Raw genomic sequence first — 17,545 nt, forward strand, 5'->3', positions numbered from 1 at the left:
ATTGTTCTGAAGATTGACATTTTACACTCTTACACTTAATACAAAGTGGCTTTCACTGTTTCTCACCTAACTGACTTATCTTGTGCGCTTAGAAGACTATCTCAAGACAAAGATGGGTCCAGGGAGTTCACTTAAAACACTAGAATCACTGGTGCCACCAACAGGGGCTCCAAACTAGCTTCAGAGAATAGACTTGCTACCGGGGGAAGGTTTTGACTACCAGTTGTCCAAGTTCTTTGCGTTTTGAACAAAGAATTGGACAAAAAGTACAAACAAAGCAACTAAAGAACGAAGGAATGAAAGCACAGATCTATTGATGTGAAAGTACACTCCACAATGTGGGCGCAGGCTCAGCTCAAGAGCCCTGGTTATGGAATTTTCTGGGGTATTTAAACCGTAGAGGATTCCCATTAGTTACTTGGTTTACGCCCTATGTAAGTGAAGGCGTGGCCTGCAACCAATCAGAGACTTACGTTACAAAGTTACACCTTATGCAAACGTCTGATTGGTTGTGAGAGGGGACCAATCAGAGGCTGAAGTGGTTACAAAGTTATTGCCCTATGCAGATGAAAACTAGGCCCACCACCAGTCTGATTGGTTGTGGGAGTGGACCAATCAGAAGTAGTTTCCATTTTTCATCTGTGATGCAGAAAGGGAGGGGAGTTTGCAAAGGCAGTAACCCCTGGTCCTATTGTTACTTGAGCATGGAAACTTGGGGTTTTCCTTCTGATTTAGTTCTAGGAAGTCAGCATGAATCAGCCTTAGGTTCCCTGCCTCCAGACCCTATTCTCCTGCCTCAAGAGAATTTAACATAAAGCCTTGCAGAGTTGTAAGGGTGTTTTTATGCACATATTTTAATCGGTGAAACAACTCTGTGAGGTGGGGAAGGTATTATCATGCTTCATAACTGAGAACACTGAGGTTAACAGAGGTTTGTGAATGTCCAAGGTCACACTGCTAGGAAAAGGCAAGTCTCTTTTTGCCAGGTGGGAAGAGAGGCAGCGCATAAGTAGATATCCTTTTTTAGCCACTAATTCTCTCTATACACTAGAATTCGAGTAGGATATTGGGAGTGGTTGTGTCAGGGAATGAATTAGAGGACAACCAGCAAGCCAGTTAGAAGAGTCCTGCAATAGTAAATGGAGAGAAAGAGGGACTAATTGATCTTGAAATCGGGAGAAATCTTATAAGCATGAGAACTGTATAAAATATAAAATTAGTGGCTTTATGAGAAAGTGCAAACTGAGACAGTGTAGTCAAAAGCTGGGTAAATATATTTCTGCAATGTTGACTTTGGTTGGCAATTTGAATAAAAAGCAATTTCTGTGGTCTCTTCTCACTCAAAAGAAGTTGATGATTTTATGATCATTGGGAGCTTTCCTTTTAAAATTGCACTCTCCTGTCACATTAAGTTAGATTTTTGTTAGTTGCTGAACCATGAAATCTATTTACTTTATGTAAGAAGGTGGCTTACTCCATGCAATTCTAGCCACAAAACAATAACAGTTAAGTTTAATCCCACTTTAGCAATGCAAATTTTACCAACCAGAAAAAATAACGGGCAAAACACAATTTAGTTAAAGGGAAAAAAAGTAGCATTTGCTGTAAAAAAACAAGGTAATTGGGGATGGGAAGACTTTTAATTCTAGCCACCCAAAAGTACTATTTGGCTGCCCAAGTTTTTCCCTTTAGAGAAAGAGATGTCATCTTTACACAGGTAAATTAAATAAGTTCTAGCTAGATGAAAGCTAGATAATGAAAGAGGGAATTTGAATGTAAACTTTCTGGATTTAGTTATCTGTACAAAGGATATGCTTACTGATCCTCATTACTGACTCCACTTGCAAGTAGAGTAGCAGTAACGCAAAGCAGTCAACAGAACCTAGCATTGGCATTAGGCTTGGCTATGCTCCCTAGGAGCTTTCTGGGTCTCGGCAAATCCCTTCCCTCAATCATGTATCTAAAAGTATCTAACAGGCCGAGTGCGCTGGCTCACGCCTGTAATCCCAGCACTTTGGGAGGCTGAGGCGGTAGGATCACTTCAGGTCAGGAGTTCAAGACCAGCCTGGCCAACATGGTGATACCCAGTCTCTACTAAAAACACACAAAAAAATTAGCTGGGAGTGGTGGCATGTGTCTGTAATCCCAGCTACTCGGAAGGCTGAGGCAGGAGAATTGCTTGAATCCAAAAGGGGGAGGTTGCAGTGAGCCGAGATTACGCCAGAGTGAGACTCAGTCTCTAAATAAATAAATAAATAAATAAATAAATATATAAATAAATAAGAAAAGTATCTAACAGGCACTCAACAGACATTTATTGTCCAACTCTCCTGCAGCAGGTGCTATCATACACTCTGGGGGTATGGAGATGAACGTGAGTTTTGTCAAAGAATTTAGAGTTGAGTAAGATCATACAAATCTGTAATCAAGTTTGGGCCTTAAAGTATTTGAGGTGTTGTGATAGATACTTTGAGGTGGTAGAAGGAAAGAAGAAAAAAAGAACAGTCAACTTTACAGAGAGGAGAAAGGGAGGCGAGTCAGGAAAGGCTCCAAAGAAAAGTTATTCTTGATCAGAGTCTTCCCAAAAGGGTCGATATTTATCAGGTGCATATTCACGGTAGTGGTTACAATGCTGTGCGTATTCGTGTGGGTGTGTTGCAGGGGGTGGGAGAACAGAGGTACTATGCCAGCCATAGAAAATACCATAAAAAGCACAGAACTAAAATAGTAGGCAGTTCACTATTGTTACTACATCCAACTGGAGGCTAAAATCAGCAGAAAAACCAGGGATTGAAAAGGTTTTTTTATAAGCATAAGGCCAAACCAGAAACCATAAATGATAAACAAACAGAAAACCAAAAAAGAATATGTCAAAATTACAATAAGAGTTGAAAAACAATGGCAAGATATAAACATGACGTTGGTATAAGGGATATGGCATACGAGACGTATTGGCATTTGGGACAGCAAAAGGTTTATAGTTGATAGAAATTGATAAAAGATGAACAAACCAATTAAGAATGAACAAAACAAAATGTACAAAATTAATAATATGTCCATTATAAGTCTGCGAAAAATTCAGTCTCACTACTAAGGAAGAAATAAAAATTAAAGTAATAACATATATTATTCATATATTAGATTGGCAAAGGTGATTCATTGTTAAAACTGTGTATCAGCCAAAGTGTAGAAAAATCATATACTCAAAAGCAGAGGTAGGTATATCACTGTCAAATAAGAATATTTCTGGGGTTAATTTGACAACATCTAGGAAAACGCTCTAACCTAGACTAGCAATTCCTTCTAGAATTTAAGCTCAATTGGCAAATGAAACCATTATACACACACACACACACACAAACACACACACACACACACACATTGTATTTTGTAGAAGCCAAAAAATAAAAACAACCCAAATGTCCAGCAATAGGTTATTTAAATAAATTATAATATTATGATATATCTACTACATGGAAACTATAAAATAATTTAAAAAATGGTAACTTAGGGTTTTGTTTTTTGATAAAGAAACTAGTTATTATAAAATATTAGGCAAGAAAAGGTGGTTACTGACAGTATTCCATTTTTCTAAGTTATAAAGAGAAAAATGATGCTGAAAAGAGAATGATACATGTGACTACAGTTAATTTTTTTATTTATTTCCCTCTTTTGCAGTTTCTATAATTCTTTTTTTCCAAGTAGATTAAAATATTTGGAAAACTTCCTATGTGGAAGGCAGTAAGCAGTAATATGCTATCTGCAAATTTGGGTATCTTACAGATAATGTGATGTTGAGAAATAGCAACCTTTTGGTCTTCTTATCTCTATCACAGAATTCACAAATCTTGAAAATAAAATCAACACATTTTTCTTTCTGAAGATAGTGAGGGATATAAAATTAATATCGATGAGAGACAACGACTTTAGTTATTTCTGTTAAAGCTTTATGCAGGTTAAAGTTTAACTGGTTCTTTGATTATCGCCATTCTTACAGGAGTAAGATGGTATCGCATTGTGGTTTTGATTTGGATTTCCCTGATCATTAGTGATGTTGATAATTTTTTCATGTTTGTTGGCGATTTGTATATCTTCTTTTGGGAATTCTCTATTCATGTTCTTAGCCCAGTTTTTGATGGGATTGATTTTTTTTTCTTACTGATTTGTTTGACCCTCTACTGGGTATCTACCCAGAGGAAAAAAGAAGTCCTTATTTGAAAAAAGATACTTGCACACGCAAGTTTGTAGCAGCACAATTCACAATAGCAAAATTGTGGAACCAAACCAATGACCGTCAGTCAACGAGTGGATAAAAAAATCTCTGGTATATATATAGGATGGAATACTACTCAGCCATAAAAAGGAATGAATTAACAGCATTTGCAATAACCTGGAAGAGATCGGAGACTATTATTCTAAGTGAAGTAACTCAGGAATGGAAAACCAAACATGGTATGTTCTCACTGATATGTGGGAGGTATGCTATGAGGACACAAAGGCATAAGAATGATACAATAGACTTCGGGTACTTGGGAAGAGTGGGAGAGGGGCAAAGGATAAAAGACAACAAATATGGTGCAGTGTATACTGCTTGGGTGATGGGTGCACCAGGTTCTCACAAATCTTCACTAAAGAACTCACTCATGTAACCAAGTACCACATGTACCCCAATAACTTATGGAAAAATAAAAAAATTGGTAGAAAAATTCAATAAGTCTAGCTAGATTTTCAATATTAAAATAGTCAAAACAATCAAATAAAGTTAGCTTCCATTTTTAAAGTAGATTCTAAATAATTCCAAATAATATAGCATTCTGAGAATTATCAGAAGCATACATACAGGTACATACATATAAAGTATATATGCATATATTAAGTATCCCATTTCCAAACATTAAAATGGAATATGAAAGTATAAAACTATATATAACAGAACTCTCATACATTGCTGATGGAAGTATAAATTGCTTAAAACATTTTGGAAAACTGTTTGCTATAAATGGAATTACATATACAGTATCCGCTGATCCAGCAATTTTATTTTCAGACATACAATTCCCCCCAAATATATATATATATATATAATCAAAAGATGGAATCAAGAACATTCATAGCAACAAAAGCAATCAAAAAAGTTTAAGATAGTGACACAATGAGAACAAACTATTGCTATGCACGACAACATCGATGGATCTCACAATTATAACCAACAAAAGATGCTGTCCCATGTGACATGGTGTACCACAGAGAATCCCCACTTCAACCTGAGGTAATCGTTTTCCCAGCTCCAGGAGTTTTGCCTGCTGAAGGCTCATGCCTGACTTCCTCTGGCAAAAGCAGCAACCCCCCAATAAGTGGGTGATATGGGCCTGCCCTTTTGCCTCAATATGGGACATCTCTGGAGAACAGTCCTTACTCCAGAGCACCTCACGGGTTTGGCTGAGGCCTTTGGTGCAACTGCATCTTAGTTCAAATTCTCCCTCTGACCAACCTACTTCTCTCAGCCCCTTGGAGATGGTGTTGCCAAGAGGGCTCTCCAACAAATTTTTTTTTCATGCAACTCTCTGAGTTTCACAGTCTGTTTCCTGGAGAACTCAAGAAAAGAGGGTTGGTACAAGGAATAGTCCAAACATCACCCACCACACAGCTAACAATGGAGACCCATCATCAGTAGAGAACTGATAGCCCCTGGGATGAGATAATGGTACAGTTATTAAAACTTTTAATGGCAGAAAATACACTGGAGGATACAACATCATGGCTGTTTGCAAGGTTTGGGTGGACTCATAATTACAGTAATGGGATCAGATGGCTCTTGCTTAGGGTATAGCGGGCAGAGAAAGTCAATGAAAAACTGAAAGCAGCAATTTAGAGCAAAGTGAATAGATCAGAGCGAGTCAATTTCTATTTTCCATTGCTGCATAACAAATCACCCCCAAAACTTTGTCTTAAAATAATGCCATTTTATTATCTTTCATAATCTGGAGGTTGATGGGCTCAGCGAGGCAGCTTTTCTTCTCCACGTGAGATTGGCTGGAGTCATCTGAAGGCTCCACATTCTGCAACAACCAATATGGTTCACTCATGCAACTGGCATTGGATTCTGGCCATAGGCTAGGATATCAGCTTAGGATTTTGACTAGAGCACCCAGTCCTCCTTCATGTGACCTCTTCATGTTGCTCGGGCACCTAACAGCATGATGGCTGGGTTCCAAGAGGAGAAAGAGAAATCTGCCAGTCCTTTAATGGGCTTGGAAGTCCGAGAACATAACCATCACTTCTGCCACATTTGATTGATCACAGCCTGTCAAAAGTCCAGCTCAGGTTCAAGGGGAGCAAAAAATAAGCTCAATTTCTGGATGCGACATGCTTATATAGGGAGAATGTCAGGGGAGTTAAAGCAGGGAAGGACGTCCTTATCTTGTAAGACTAACTACTACAGTCTCCTTAGTATCGTGTAAAGATACTCATTTCCTATAGTCAGATGCAGAATAGGCTGATGATAAGGCTCAGGGCTTAATGATGAGGGAAACTGGACATCTCAGCCAGCCCCAGCAAGTCAGCTGTGCCAAGGCCTGGTCCTGTGTTAGTGAAGAGGGGGACTGTGAGATTTGCAATATCTCAATGGATGCACTTGAAAATCGCTTATCACTAGATTCCCCACAACCTCCTGGGCCTAAACAAGTACCCCACTCCACTCTGTTAAGGCTATCATCTCTGCCTGGCATAAACATGATGCAGAGGGCTCTGCCTTGCAAGATAGCAAGTGCCCTCATCAAGATATAGTCAGCTTCTCCTCCAGGCTGCCAGACAAATAACTAGGTCAGGTAACAACATAATCCAGCTGGATAAGTGCTGGCTCTGCTAACAGAGAAGGGTGTTTACACTGAAGGAGCTGTGGCACCTGCCCAACATGCATGGCTAGAGCTGAGAGGATGGGTTCAGGGTCTAGGACCAAGTATGGAGAAACATAAAGTTTAATAAGGAACAGCTTATTGACATGAGAACAACCACCTGTTATATAGGATTTAACTCTTAAAAAGGACACCAGAAGACAGAATTCATGTTGCTAAGGTGGCTCTCTGAAATTTGGAGGTGGCAATGGTCCAAAGCAAGGCCAACAACAGAAAAAGAAAAAGAAAAACATACAGAGAAGTGAACACGATAGAGTATAGATTCCAGGATACACAAAGGCCAGCAAACCCACCAGGTCCCCACACTCTGTCCTGGATAATACATGATTTGCCAAAGTCCTAAGAAATGTGCTGCCTAGACATGCACAGGCAATGCTGCGATGCTCAGTGGTGCTGCCTTTTTAGGTGATGGCAGATCGGAGGGGATGCTATTACAGAGCGCCAAGCCCATGATATTCACAAGGAGGCAGGGAAGGACATGTCTGGCATCAGGGAATTCACTGGGGCGTTTTTGATACTCCCTGCCCAACTGTGATGGAGTATGGAGAAGTGCCACAGCCTGAGACAGGCATGGTGTTCAGATGGAGATCTGGATCACTTTACCTCGTTATCCATCTAGACAAACAGAGATGCTAACAGAGGATGTGGGGAATCTAGTATTGGTAGGAGAGAAAGGACATGAGGAGGAGCAGTGCAGCCCAGAGACCAGCTGCTGCAGCTAGGGATTCATTCCACTCCCTGGAGGAACTCTTCCCCATGAGTTTAAATGAAGCAAGTGGATCCCAACAGCCCGGCAGGTGGACTATAGCACATGCAAGTGCACCTCCTCCATCCCCTCTCCAAGAGAGAGATGGTCAAGGCCTGGCCCCCTTGCTCATTTGTGCCATGAAGCTCCGAAGTCCTGTGTGGGCCTGGATAAGGACTCTGGGGCAACTACATCTCCATTCAATTCCTCCTTCTGACAGAACCTCCCTCCCCTACTCCCTTACGGGCTATTCTGCCACGAGGGCTCCCCAGTCAACTTCTTGTTTGTCAATCTCCATCTCAGGATTGAATTCTAGGAAAGTTAATCTTAGTCAGAAACCAAACACAAAAGGACACACACAGTATAATCATTATTTCCATAAAGCTCAAACATAGGCAGAAATAAAATCTAGTGTTAGGTATTAGGACGGGGTTTCCTTTGTAGGAAGGCAGTGGCTCAAAGGAAAGATAAAAGGGTTTCTGGAGAAATGATAATGTTCTCTTTCTTATCTGGGGGTTACTGACATGGATATAAATTCTGAAAATTCATCAAGCTGGGCCATCATGATTACAGCATGGCCACACTTTATTTATATACTCTATACTTCAAGAAAACGGTTTTTGGAAACTGATATTTCACAGTCCTTCTTAACAATTCAGAAATAATTTCACTTTGAGGTGGCACGAGGTCATCAAATTAAATATGAATGACCGTCCCTCATCCTTAGGCTCTGAATCCAACAGGCTGCATTCAATGCCAGACTGAGACACTGACTATGTGAAGCTGGTCAAATCTTCAATTCAGTGAACTTAGTTTCTTCATCTCCAATGTGAATGAAAAGTGATTACTAAATAAGATAATCCATTTAAAGAACATATAACATTGCTAAAATAGAATACAAACATTCAATAATATGGCAACTATCTGCATCAGGAAAATAAGATAGAGAGAAAAGTAAATTTAAACTATTTATATGAAATGTCTTGGAAGTGCTTTGCAAAATAAAGATGAAATTGTTTTGTTTTACACATAACAATCAATAAAAGTTACTTGATAGTTTAGATTTGGTGTACACAGAATAATTGTATTTATATGATGCTTAGCATATAAATAAGCAATGTCATTATGACATAATTTGGTCTGTTATAAGAATCATGATAAGGGCTGCGCATGCTGGTTCATGCCTGTAATCCCAGCACTTTGGAAGGCTGAGATGGGTGGATCACTTGAAGTCAGGAGTTGCAGACCAGCCTGGCCAACATAGTGAAACCCAATCTCTACTAAATAAATACAAAAATTAGCCAGGCATGGTGGCACACACCTGTAATCCCAGCTACTCGGGAGGCTGAGGCAGGAGAATCACTGGAACCCGGAAGGCAGAGGCTGCAGTGAGCCGAGATCAAGCCACTGCACTCCAGCCTGGGCAACAGAGCAAGACTCTGTCAAAAAAAAAAAAAGAATCATGATAAGTAATGTAGTAATATAGAGACTACATTCTCTCTCAGCAAAGTGAGAATAGGTGGCACCTTCATATTGTCAAATGAACATGGTTTATAAAATTTGATATTCTTATATTTGAATTCTGACTTTGCCAATTACTAGCAGTGTCAATTTGCATAAGTTACTTATCTTCTGAATCTTCAGTCCTTAATTTCTGAAGGAAGATGATGTGCTCATTCTACAGGACTTTCAGTGATATTATACAAAACAACATTGTGTTTAAAACATTGGGTCAATTGAAATATACATATATATATATACACACACACACACATACACATATATATATATATAATGACTGTTGATATTAGAGGAACAATCTATAATCAATGAGTAGTTTACAAAGTGAATTTAAATCAAATACTGTTTCTCATACTCTATAAACCTTAGCACCCAGAGCAAACACTTGTATAATATATTATCAGTTAGTATTTTTGATGGATAACACACAAATTGTATGAAAATGTAATCCACAATTGAAAAATGAAAAGTATCATGTTCTGGACAACTTTCTTAATTAGTATCTTAAAATCTGAGTCATTGAATTGATTTGGCACATGTGATATGACAATGTTTATAAAATAAAAGCTACAAAAATATTGTGGTGTTTGTAATATTAAAATTTATTACTTGCCTTATAAAATAAACATTCAAAAAATGAAAAATTGTTAAATCGGTAAGACTTGCATGCAATGAATCAGGTTACAGATTTGTAAAGTTCATTAGAACATAATTCCTCATACTGAATTGCCTTTTAACAGTAGATTCAGCTCAAGTTTCTAAAAACAAATATTAACTTTTTTTACTATAATTGGTTCACTTATTTTCTACTGTTAATAAATCAGCTTTGTGGAATGTAAATGGTATAGGTTTTGCACTTCAGCTGATATAGATTCAAAAATTGGCTCTGTCACTTACTAGCTTTATGTCTTGGGCTAAGTTTTTTTACTCTCTGAACCTTAGTGTTTTCATCTATAAAATGGGATTATCATGTGCCTCAGAAAGTCATTGTGAAGAACAGAAACAATGTCAGGGAAGAATCTAACACACTGAAATACAACTGGAATTCAATAAAGACAGGGTGTTTATATCATGATATTTGCATTATTAATTATATTGGTAAGTGCCTGAGAATTGGTTTTAGTTTTTCAGAACTTGTGAGTCCTCTTTCTCTCTCTCCCTCTCATTTGATCGCTTTGAGGTTTCACAGTAGAATATAAAACTGCAGTCCTATTTATTATGTTTATGCTCTTCAATAAACACATTGCAGTATTTCAATTCTGGCACTAGTATCTTGGCAAGCATTCTGGCTAGAATATATTGTATGCTTCAGAACCTAAATTGTAGTGACATATTAATACATCATGAAATTCAACAAAGATTCAGTGGCCTTTAAGGAAGAACAAAGAATATGTTCACACTTCATCATACAATATTATCTATCCTGTCATTATTTATTTTCAAGCATCCTGGCAATAGTGTCCTTTGTGGATCAATTATAATAGTTTCAAATTCCATAGATGAGCTTATACCAAGGTCAGATGATAATAGGTTGCTATTGAGTTATGCCTATATTAGAAGGGATTATCAAAATTGGCACATTTTATTAATAACAATTTTGAATTCCTTTTATTCATGAAAAATAAAGGAATTACAGGTTGACCTCAACCATTTTCTAGTTCAAGTAAGATATGCATCATAAGACATTTTAGAACAACATACACCATGAGCTTTTAAAAAGTATTAAAGATGTTTGGTTAATGAGAGAGTCAGAAGTCTATGAACTACCTGTGTATATACAAACCTCTAGAACTCTAAATGCCCAAAGGCAAAGCTCATCTAACTTTCTATAAGATCCAATAATCTTAATATTTGTTTACTGCCAAAGAGGCTAAGAGATGTTGTTATCAGTTTTTGGAAGACCAATATGAGATGCTATAGGAAATATGCATTAATCAAAAAGTGCTCTTGGGCTTGCCTGTTTTCCAACCCATCACAGACAGAATGGCATGGGGGAAAGAACACAGGCTCTACAGTCAGAAGACCTGGGTTCAAACACAAGTTCAGACACTGACTAGGTTCACTTTCACTCTTTTATTTTTCTCTTTCTTAAGTCCTACAAAATGAAGTATAACAAAACTAAACTGAACTTTCTGTCACTCTGGGGCTTGATATATATATTCAGTAGTGTGAGGGTCAGAAGTCAGGAGCATAGTGTGTTTATTCCTTATTGCAGTCATTCTATACCCATTGAAGGAAGTCAACCCCGGTCTTGTTCAGGGAGTCTGTAAGATCAAAACTATTTTTGTAATATTACTAAGATGCCATTTCCATTTTTCACTCTCCCTCATGAGTTTGCAGTGGGATTTTCCAGAGGTTTTATGATGTGTGACTGTGACATGGCAACCCACTGGTTGCAGAGAATCCAGCTGTGTGGTCTCTGAAATCAGGCAGTAAACAGATTTGGAAAATTATAAAACAATCACTAAAATATTTATCACTAAATATATTTTGTTCTAGAAATAGATTTAATTTTCAAAAAATGTTTTGTTAATATATAATGGGTTTATTATTATTTTAAAATGAATTGATAAATATTTTAAAATATTTCGGTTGTATTTCTAATACAGTAAATATGGGGTTTTCAATAATTGTTGAGTGTAAACAGGTCCTGAGACAGAAACGTTTGCTTACTGCTGTCTTTAGTGTAATGATTTAGTAAAAAATAAGAGTTCTAGAGACTTCTAGTTTTCGCTTTAAGGTAAAGAAAGCTGGGAAGAGATCTTTCTCTCACTTACAATGAAAAGCTGGAGAAACTGAAAAATATCATAAACCTATTGGAGAAAGTTTAAGTAAAGTGTCCAGAGTGAAGGGCAATTAACACTGCCTCTCTTGGGCACAGGAAAAAACCAATTTCAGCTGAGGGAAGAAAACAGAAAACAAAACAAAACAACTTAACCCTGGGGAAGATAGAGAGGCAGATTCTGGGCTGAGAACTGCAGATGGGAAGGGGCAGGAGAACTAAGGAAGCCACACTTCAATATCGAGGGATACACTGTCTGTCTAATAGTGTGGTGAAATGAGAACAACAGAGAACACTCCGCTGCTGCCACTTCTCACTGCCAAGCTAAGATATCTTAAGTAATCCACAGTGCTGCTTGGAGAGAAACACAAGTGTGGAAGGAGACCTTCTCTAAGGTTCAGTGCAAAGGAAAGACTTAAAGCTGGCGATAGAGCAAGCATTGAGAGAAAACAAAACAAAACACGTTTGACAACCCAGCCTCAATCCTAAAAACAAGTTGTTACTAGAGGAATTTGAAACCTATGGTATACTGAGTGAAATAACAATTATAACACACTTCACACCTAACCCAACTCCTAACTAGTTTTACTCAAACCCCTGCACTAAAGGCCCAGCAGAGGGAAAGGCATGTCCACTACTAGGCAGAAAAAACTGTTAACTTCAGTTTCCATTGAACTACAGAAGGTGTCCAATTTTCAACAGCAATAAAAACATAAAGTATATAGAAAGGCAAAAAGTAAAAAACAGAAACCACCAACACACTCCCAACAGACAAAGTAAGCAGCAAAACCAGACTCAACTATGACACAGATGTTGGAAGTAACTGATAAGGAATTTAAAATAACTATGATGAAAATGTTAAAGGATTTAACTGAAAAGAAGGATATGATAAAAGATCAGGTTGGAAGTTTAGCAGAAAGCCAGAAACTATAAAAAAATCAAATGAAAATGTTAGAACTGAATACAACCACTGTAACAGAGACGAAGAATGCTTTCACAGCTTCATTAGTAGACTCAACATAGTTGAAGAAAGAATCAAGGAATTTGAAGATAGATCAATAGAAACTACTCAAATAGAAATATATAGAGAAAAATGTTTGGAAAAAATGCAGCAGAGTATCCAAGAGAGGTGAAAAAATATCAAATGGTCTAACTGACATGTAAATAGAATAACAGAAAGAGAAGAGAAACAACAGGGCAGAACAAACATTTGAAGAAATCATGGCTGTGAATTTTTAAAAATTAAAGACAAACACCAAACTACAGAGCCAAAAACAAAACAAAAAAAAAACCTCAGAGAGCGCAAAGCATGATAGATAAAAAGCAAACAAAATCCACCCAGGTATATCATATTCAAACTGCTAAAAACAAAGGACAAAGAGGAAATCTTGGAGGCAACTATAGAAAAAGATACATTACATGCTGAAGAACAAAGATAAGAACTATAGCAGACTTGTAGCTAGAAGACAATGGAGTGCTAAAAAAAATGTGAATTCAGAAAATATTTTGAAGTGTTTTTCAAAAATGAAGAAGTAATATGTATTAGTCTGTTTTCATGCTGTTTATAAAGACACACCCAAGACTGGGCAAATTACAAAAGAAAGAAGTTTATTTAAAACCATCAGATCTCGTGAGACCCATTTACTATCATGAGAACAGCACGGGAAAGACCCACCCCCATGATGCAATCATCTCCCACTGGGTCCCTCCCACAACACGTGGGAATTATGGGAGCTACAAGATGAGATTTGGGTGGGTACACAGTGCCAAACCATATCATAATAACAAAGAAAAACTGAAATAATTAATTGCCAGCAGACCTACCCTTCAAAAAGTGGTAAAGGAAGTTCTATAGGCAGAAAGAATATGATAGCAAACAGGAACTTCAATCTACACAAAGAAATAAAGAGTGCTGAAAATAGAATCAATGAATGGAAAATAAATTTTTTTCATATTTTAATTGTGCTAAAATATAACTGACTCTCTAAAGCCAAAATGGTACCAACATATTGTATGTTTGTAGCATATTTCAATGTTAAATTTATGAAAATAATAAGATAAAGGATGGGAGGGAAATTCAGATTATTTAAGGTCCTTACATAATGCATGCAGTGGGATTATAATATTTGTAGGTAGACTCTACTTGATATTTATTGCAAATCACAGAGCAAACACTAAAAAAATTAACAAAATTGAGTAAATAATATAGGGAAAAATAGAAACATAAAAATGCTAAATTTTTACAAGAAGTAAGTAAAAGAGAAAAGAAACAAACAACAGGTAAGACAAATAGAAAACAGCTAACATAGAAGGCCAAAAAAATCAAAACCCAAGTATATGCTGTCCACAAGAAACACACTTTACATATGTACAGACAGGTCAAATAGATACAGACAGCTTAAAAATAAGTAGATGGAAGAAGTTAAAGCATGGAAACACTAACCCAAGAAAGCAAGGGTAGCTATGCTAATAGGTAAAGTAGACTTCAGGATGAGAAATATTATCAGTGATAAATAAGGATACTATGTCTTGCAAAAAGAGTCAATTCTCTAAGAAGACATAACAATTCTAAATATGTACCCTAGAGCTTTAAAAGATGTAAAGCAAAATCTGATAAAAATGAAAACAAACAAATCTGCATTTATAGTTAGAGACTTCAACACTTTTCTCTCATAATTGACAGAACAAGTACATAGTAAATCAGTAAGGATATAGAACACCCGAGCAATATTATCAACCAACTCAGCATAATTCACATTTATAGACCACTCCTCCCAACAACAGCAGAATACACAATCTTTTCCATTGGACATGAAACATTCAACCAAAATAGACTGGCTATATTCTGGCTTATAAAAATCTCTTAACATTTTAAAATAATATAAAGTCAAGTTCCTACTTTATCTTTCGTTTCTACTTATAGTTCTCTCTCTCTTTCTCCTCACCTCAGTGGTCAGTCAATGGGTCCCTGAGCATTGGGCTCCATCATTGACTCTGTCCTCACCTAAGTTTTCTCACTAGGAAGACCTCATCCATACCCAAGGATTTAGTTATTGCTATGCACTGATAAATCTCAGATTCATAATTTTGCCTAATATCACACTACTGGACTGTAGACTACTAGACAGTTGCTCTCTGGATAGTTTATTGGCACCTCAAACCCAACATACTATTGCTAAATTCAACATCTTGTTCCACTTCCTTAATTACCTACCGTGGTGATTCATATTTCCCTCCATTAAGATATTTAAGCCAGAATTGTGCATCTTATCATTTATCACCTCCACATGAAATCAACCATGAGGCATTATTGATAAGGTACCCTTAGTATCTCTCTTTCCACTCCGTCTGTTATACATGATGATACATATATATCTGATGATTCTTGAGAATTTGGTTCAGAGATTTTTCCCTTGAAACTATTATTAGTATCTTCAAAAACAGTGAAGTCTGTATAGCACTGTATTAAATTCCTGGAGCTGCTGTAACAAATTATCACAAACCAGGTGTCTTAAAATAACAGAAAGTTATACTCTCCCTCTTCTTGAGGCCAGAAGTCTGAACCAAGGTGTTGGTAGAACCATGCTCCCTCAGAAGGCTTTTGGGGAGAATCCTTTCCTTGCCTTTTCCAGCTCTGGTGGCTGTCAGTATTCCTTGGCTTGTAGCCACATCTCTCTCTCTCTCTGCTCTGTCTTCACTTCACCTTCTCCTCTATGCATCTACCTCAAAACTCCCTCAATCTTTCAACTCTAAGGATACATGCAATTACACTTAAGGCCCACACAGAGAATCTAGTATAGTCCAGTGTAAACCTCTTTTCAAGATCATTAATTTAATCACATCTTTGCCATATAAGGTAATGTTCACTCTTGCCGTACGAGTTGCTATTGACAAGTTCCAGGATTAGGACATGAACATGTCTTTTAGGGGATTACTATTCAGCCTACTACAAGCACTCTGTCATATATTTAAAATAACATCCACAGTTCACAAGACTATGGAGTTAAAGAGGATTCATACACGTTTGAAAAAATTTAAATTAGCATGATGTCTTCAGAGAACATTTGGCAAAGTCAAGCAAAAGTCTTGGAAAAAATGTGCATATTGCCTTTATAGTTTTTTAGTTTTTATTTTTATTTTTTGGGGGATGGAGTCTCACTCTGTCACCTAGGCTGGAGTGCAGTAGCGGGATCTTGGCTCACTGCAACCTCCGCCTCCTAGGTTCAAGCAACTCTCCTGCCTCAGCCTCCCGAGTAGCTGGGATTATAGGCACCCGCCACCATCACATTCAGCTAATTTTTTTGTAGTTCTAGTAGAGACAGGATTTCACCACGTTGGCCAGGCTGGTTTCGAACTCCTGACCTCAAGCAATCTGCCTGTGTCAGCCTCCCAAAGTGCTAGGATTACAGGTGTGAGCCACCATGCCTGGCCTGCATATTGCCTTTAGCACAGCAATGACAATTTCAGAACTCTAGCATAAAAATATTTGGTTCATATGTGAATGTGCAAGTGTGTTCACCGCAGTCTTTTTTATTTGAAAAGAAAGGTTGAATCTAGTATAAAATGCCCAATAATAGGGGCTTACCTGAGGCTTAATTTATAATATATATATAAACAAGTGTATATATAAAAATATATGTACGCACATGTAGTATATTTATACAATGACATGATGTGTAGCCATTAAATTTGGTAATATAATGCCATGTTTACTGACATATAAAATAATTCACCATATTGTCAAATGAAAAGTTTATAAAATGGTATGTGTAGTATAATAACATTTTAGTAAAAATATGTATTTAAAACAATCTGGATAAATTGATCCCAAAAATATTAATACTGGAATTGTATCCAACTCATTTTTACCTATGGGTTTAAATGTTGTGCAGTGAGTTTATTTACAATATTTTAAAATAACTAAAAAGTGAATATATTTGTTAAACACATATTAATTTTTCTTCAAAGTACATTTATAATTCTTAAAACTTCAGACATTTCAATGTAATTTAGATATGAATTGTCTTCTGATAAAGAAAAAACTATATAGAAATATATAAAAATAAATTTGAAATATTTATTTCCTAAACATCACAAAGTCCAAACATCGAAGAAATGTGAACCACCTTAGCAAAAATATTAATACTAGCATTATCCATGTATTGTCCTAACAAATGGGAGAAAATCTTTTATTTCTGAATGTAACAAACTTTCATTATATTTAAGAAAAAGCGAGCCTACAGTTGTCAGTATACTCTATGAGCCATTTAAAAGCCAATTATGCATGCCTGGTAAAGTAAATGAGACCATGAATGAATAACATCCACAAACGTAAATTATACACATAAATTATAAAATTTAAATGTTTCTGGAAGAGGCACTAACCTTAACATAATGATTAGCATAATGATTAGTGCTGCTGTCCACAAAATACGTCTTCCAAGATATTTTTATTTATATATACCTCACAAAATAATGATATTTTATATACTACTACTAGAAAGTAACTTTTGTAGCTCAAACCTAAAAAAATTCCCATGAAATTGTTATTTCACTATCATTAAATGGGATCTACCAATTCTT

The 17,545-nt window shown here is 36.7% G+C and overlaps 1 protein-coding gene across 11 annotated transcripts in view, besides 2 other annotated features; it reads right to left on the reverse strand.

Annotated features, from left to right (window-relative positions):
- DLGAP1 (DLG associated protein 1) overlaps positions 1–17,545 on the reverse strand; it is a 959,276-nt gene that overhangs the window by 909,589 nt on the left and 32,142 nt on the right. The window lies entirely within an intron of this gene.
- Positions 449–743: an enhancer, noted in NCBI's record as "tiled region #437; HepG2 Activating non-DNase unmatched - State 24:Quies, and K562 Activating non-DNase unmatched - State 24:Quies". NCBI's record gives its function as "activates a minimal TATA promoter and a strong SV40 promoter by Sharpr-MPRA in HepG2 and K562 cells {active_cell/tissue: HepG2 | K562}" and the evidence as "EXISTENCE:reporter gene assay evidence [ECO:0000049][PMID:27701403]".
- Positions 2,063–2,236: a silencer, noted in NCBI's record as "fragment chr18:4407683-4407856 (GRCh37/hg19 assembly coordinates)". NCBI's record gives its function as "represses an EF-1alpha promoter that drives an FKBP-Casp9 reporter gene in an ReSE screen in HepG2 liver carcinoma cells {active_cell/tissue: HepG2}" and the evidence as "EXISTENCE:reporter gene assay evidence [ECO:0000049][PMID:32094911]".

The sequence above is a fragment of the Homo sapiens genome, chromosome 18 (assembly GCF_000001405.40).
Source record: "Homo sapiens chromosome 18, GRCh38.p14 Primary Assembly".
In the NCBI taxonomy this organism is placed as follows: domain Eukaryota; kingdom Metazoa; phylum Chordata; class Mammalia; order Primates; family Hominidae; genus Homo; species Homo sapiens.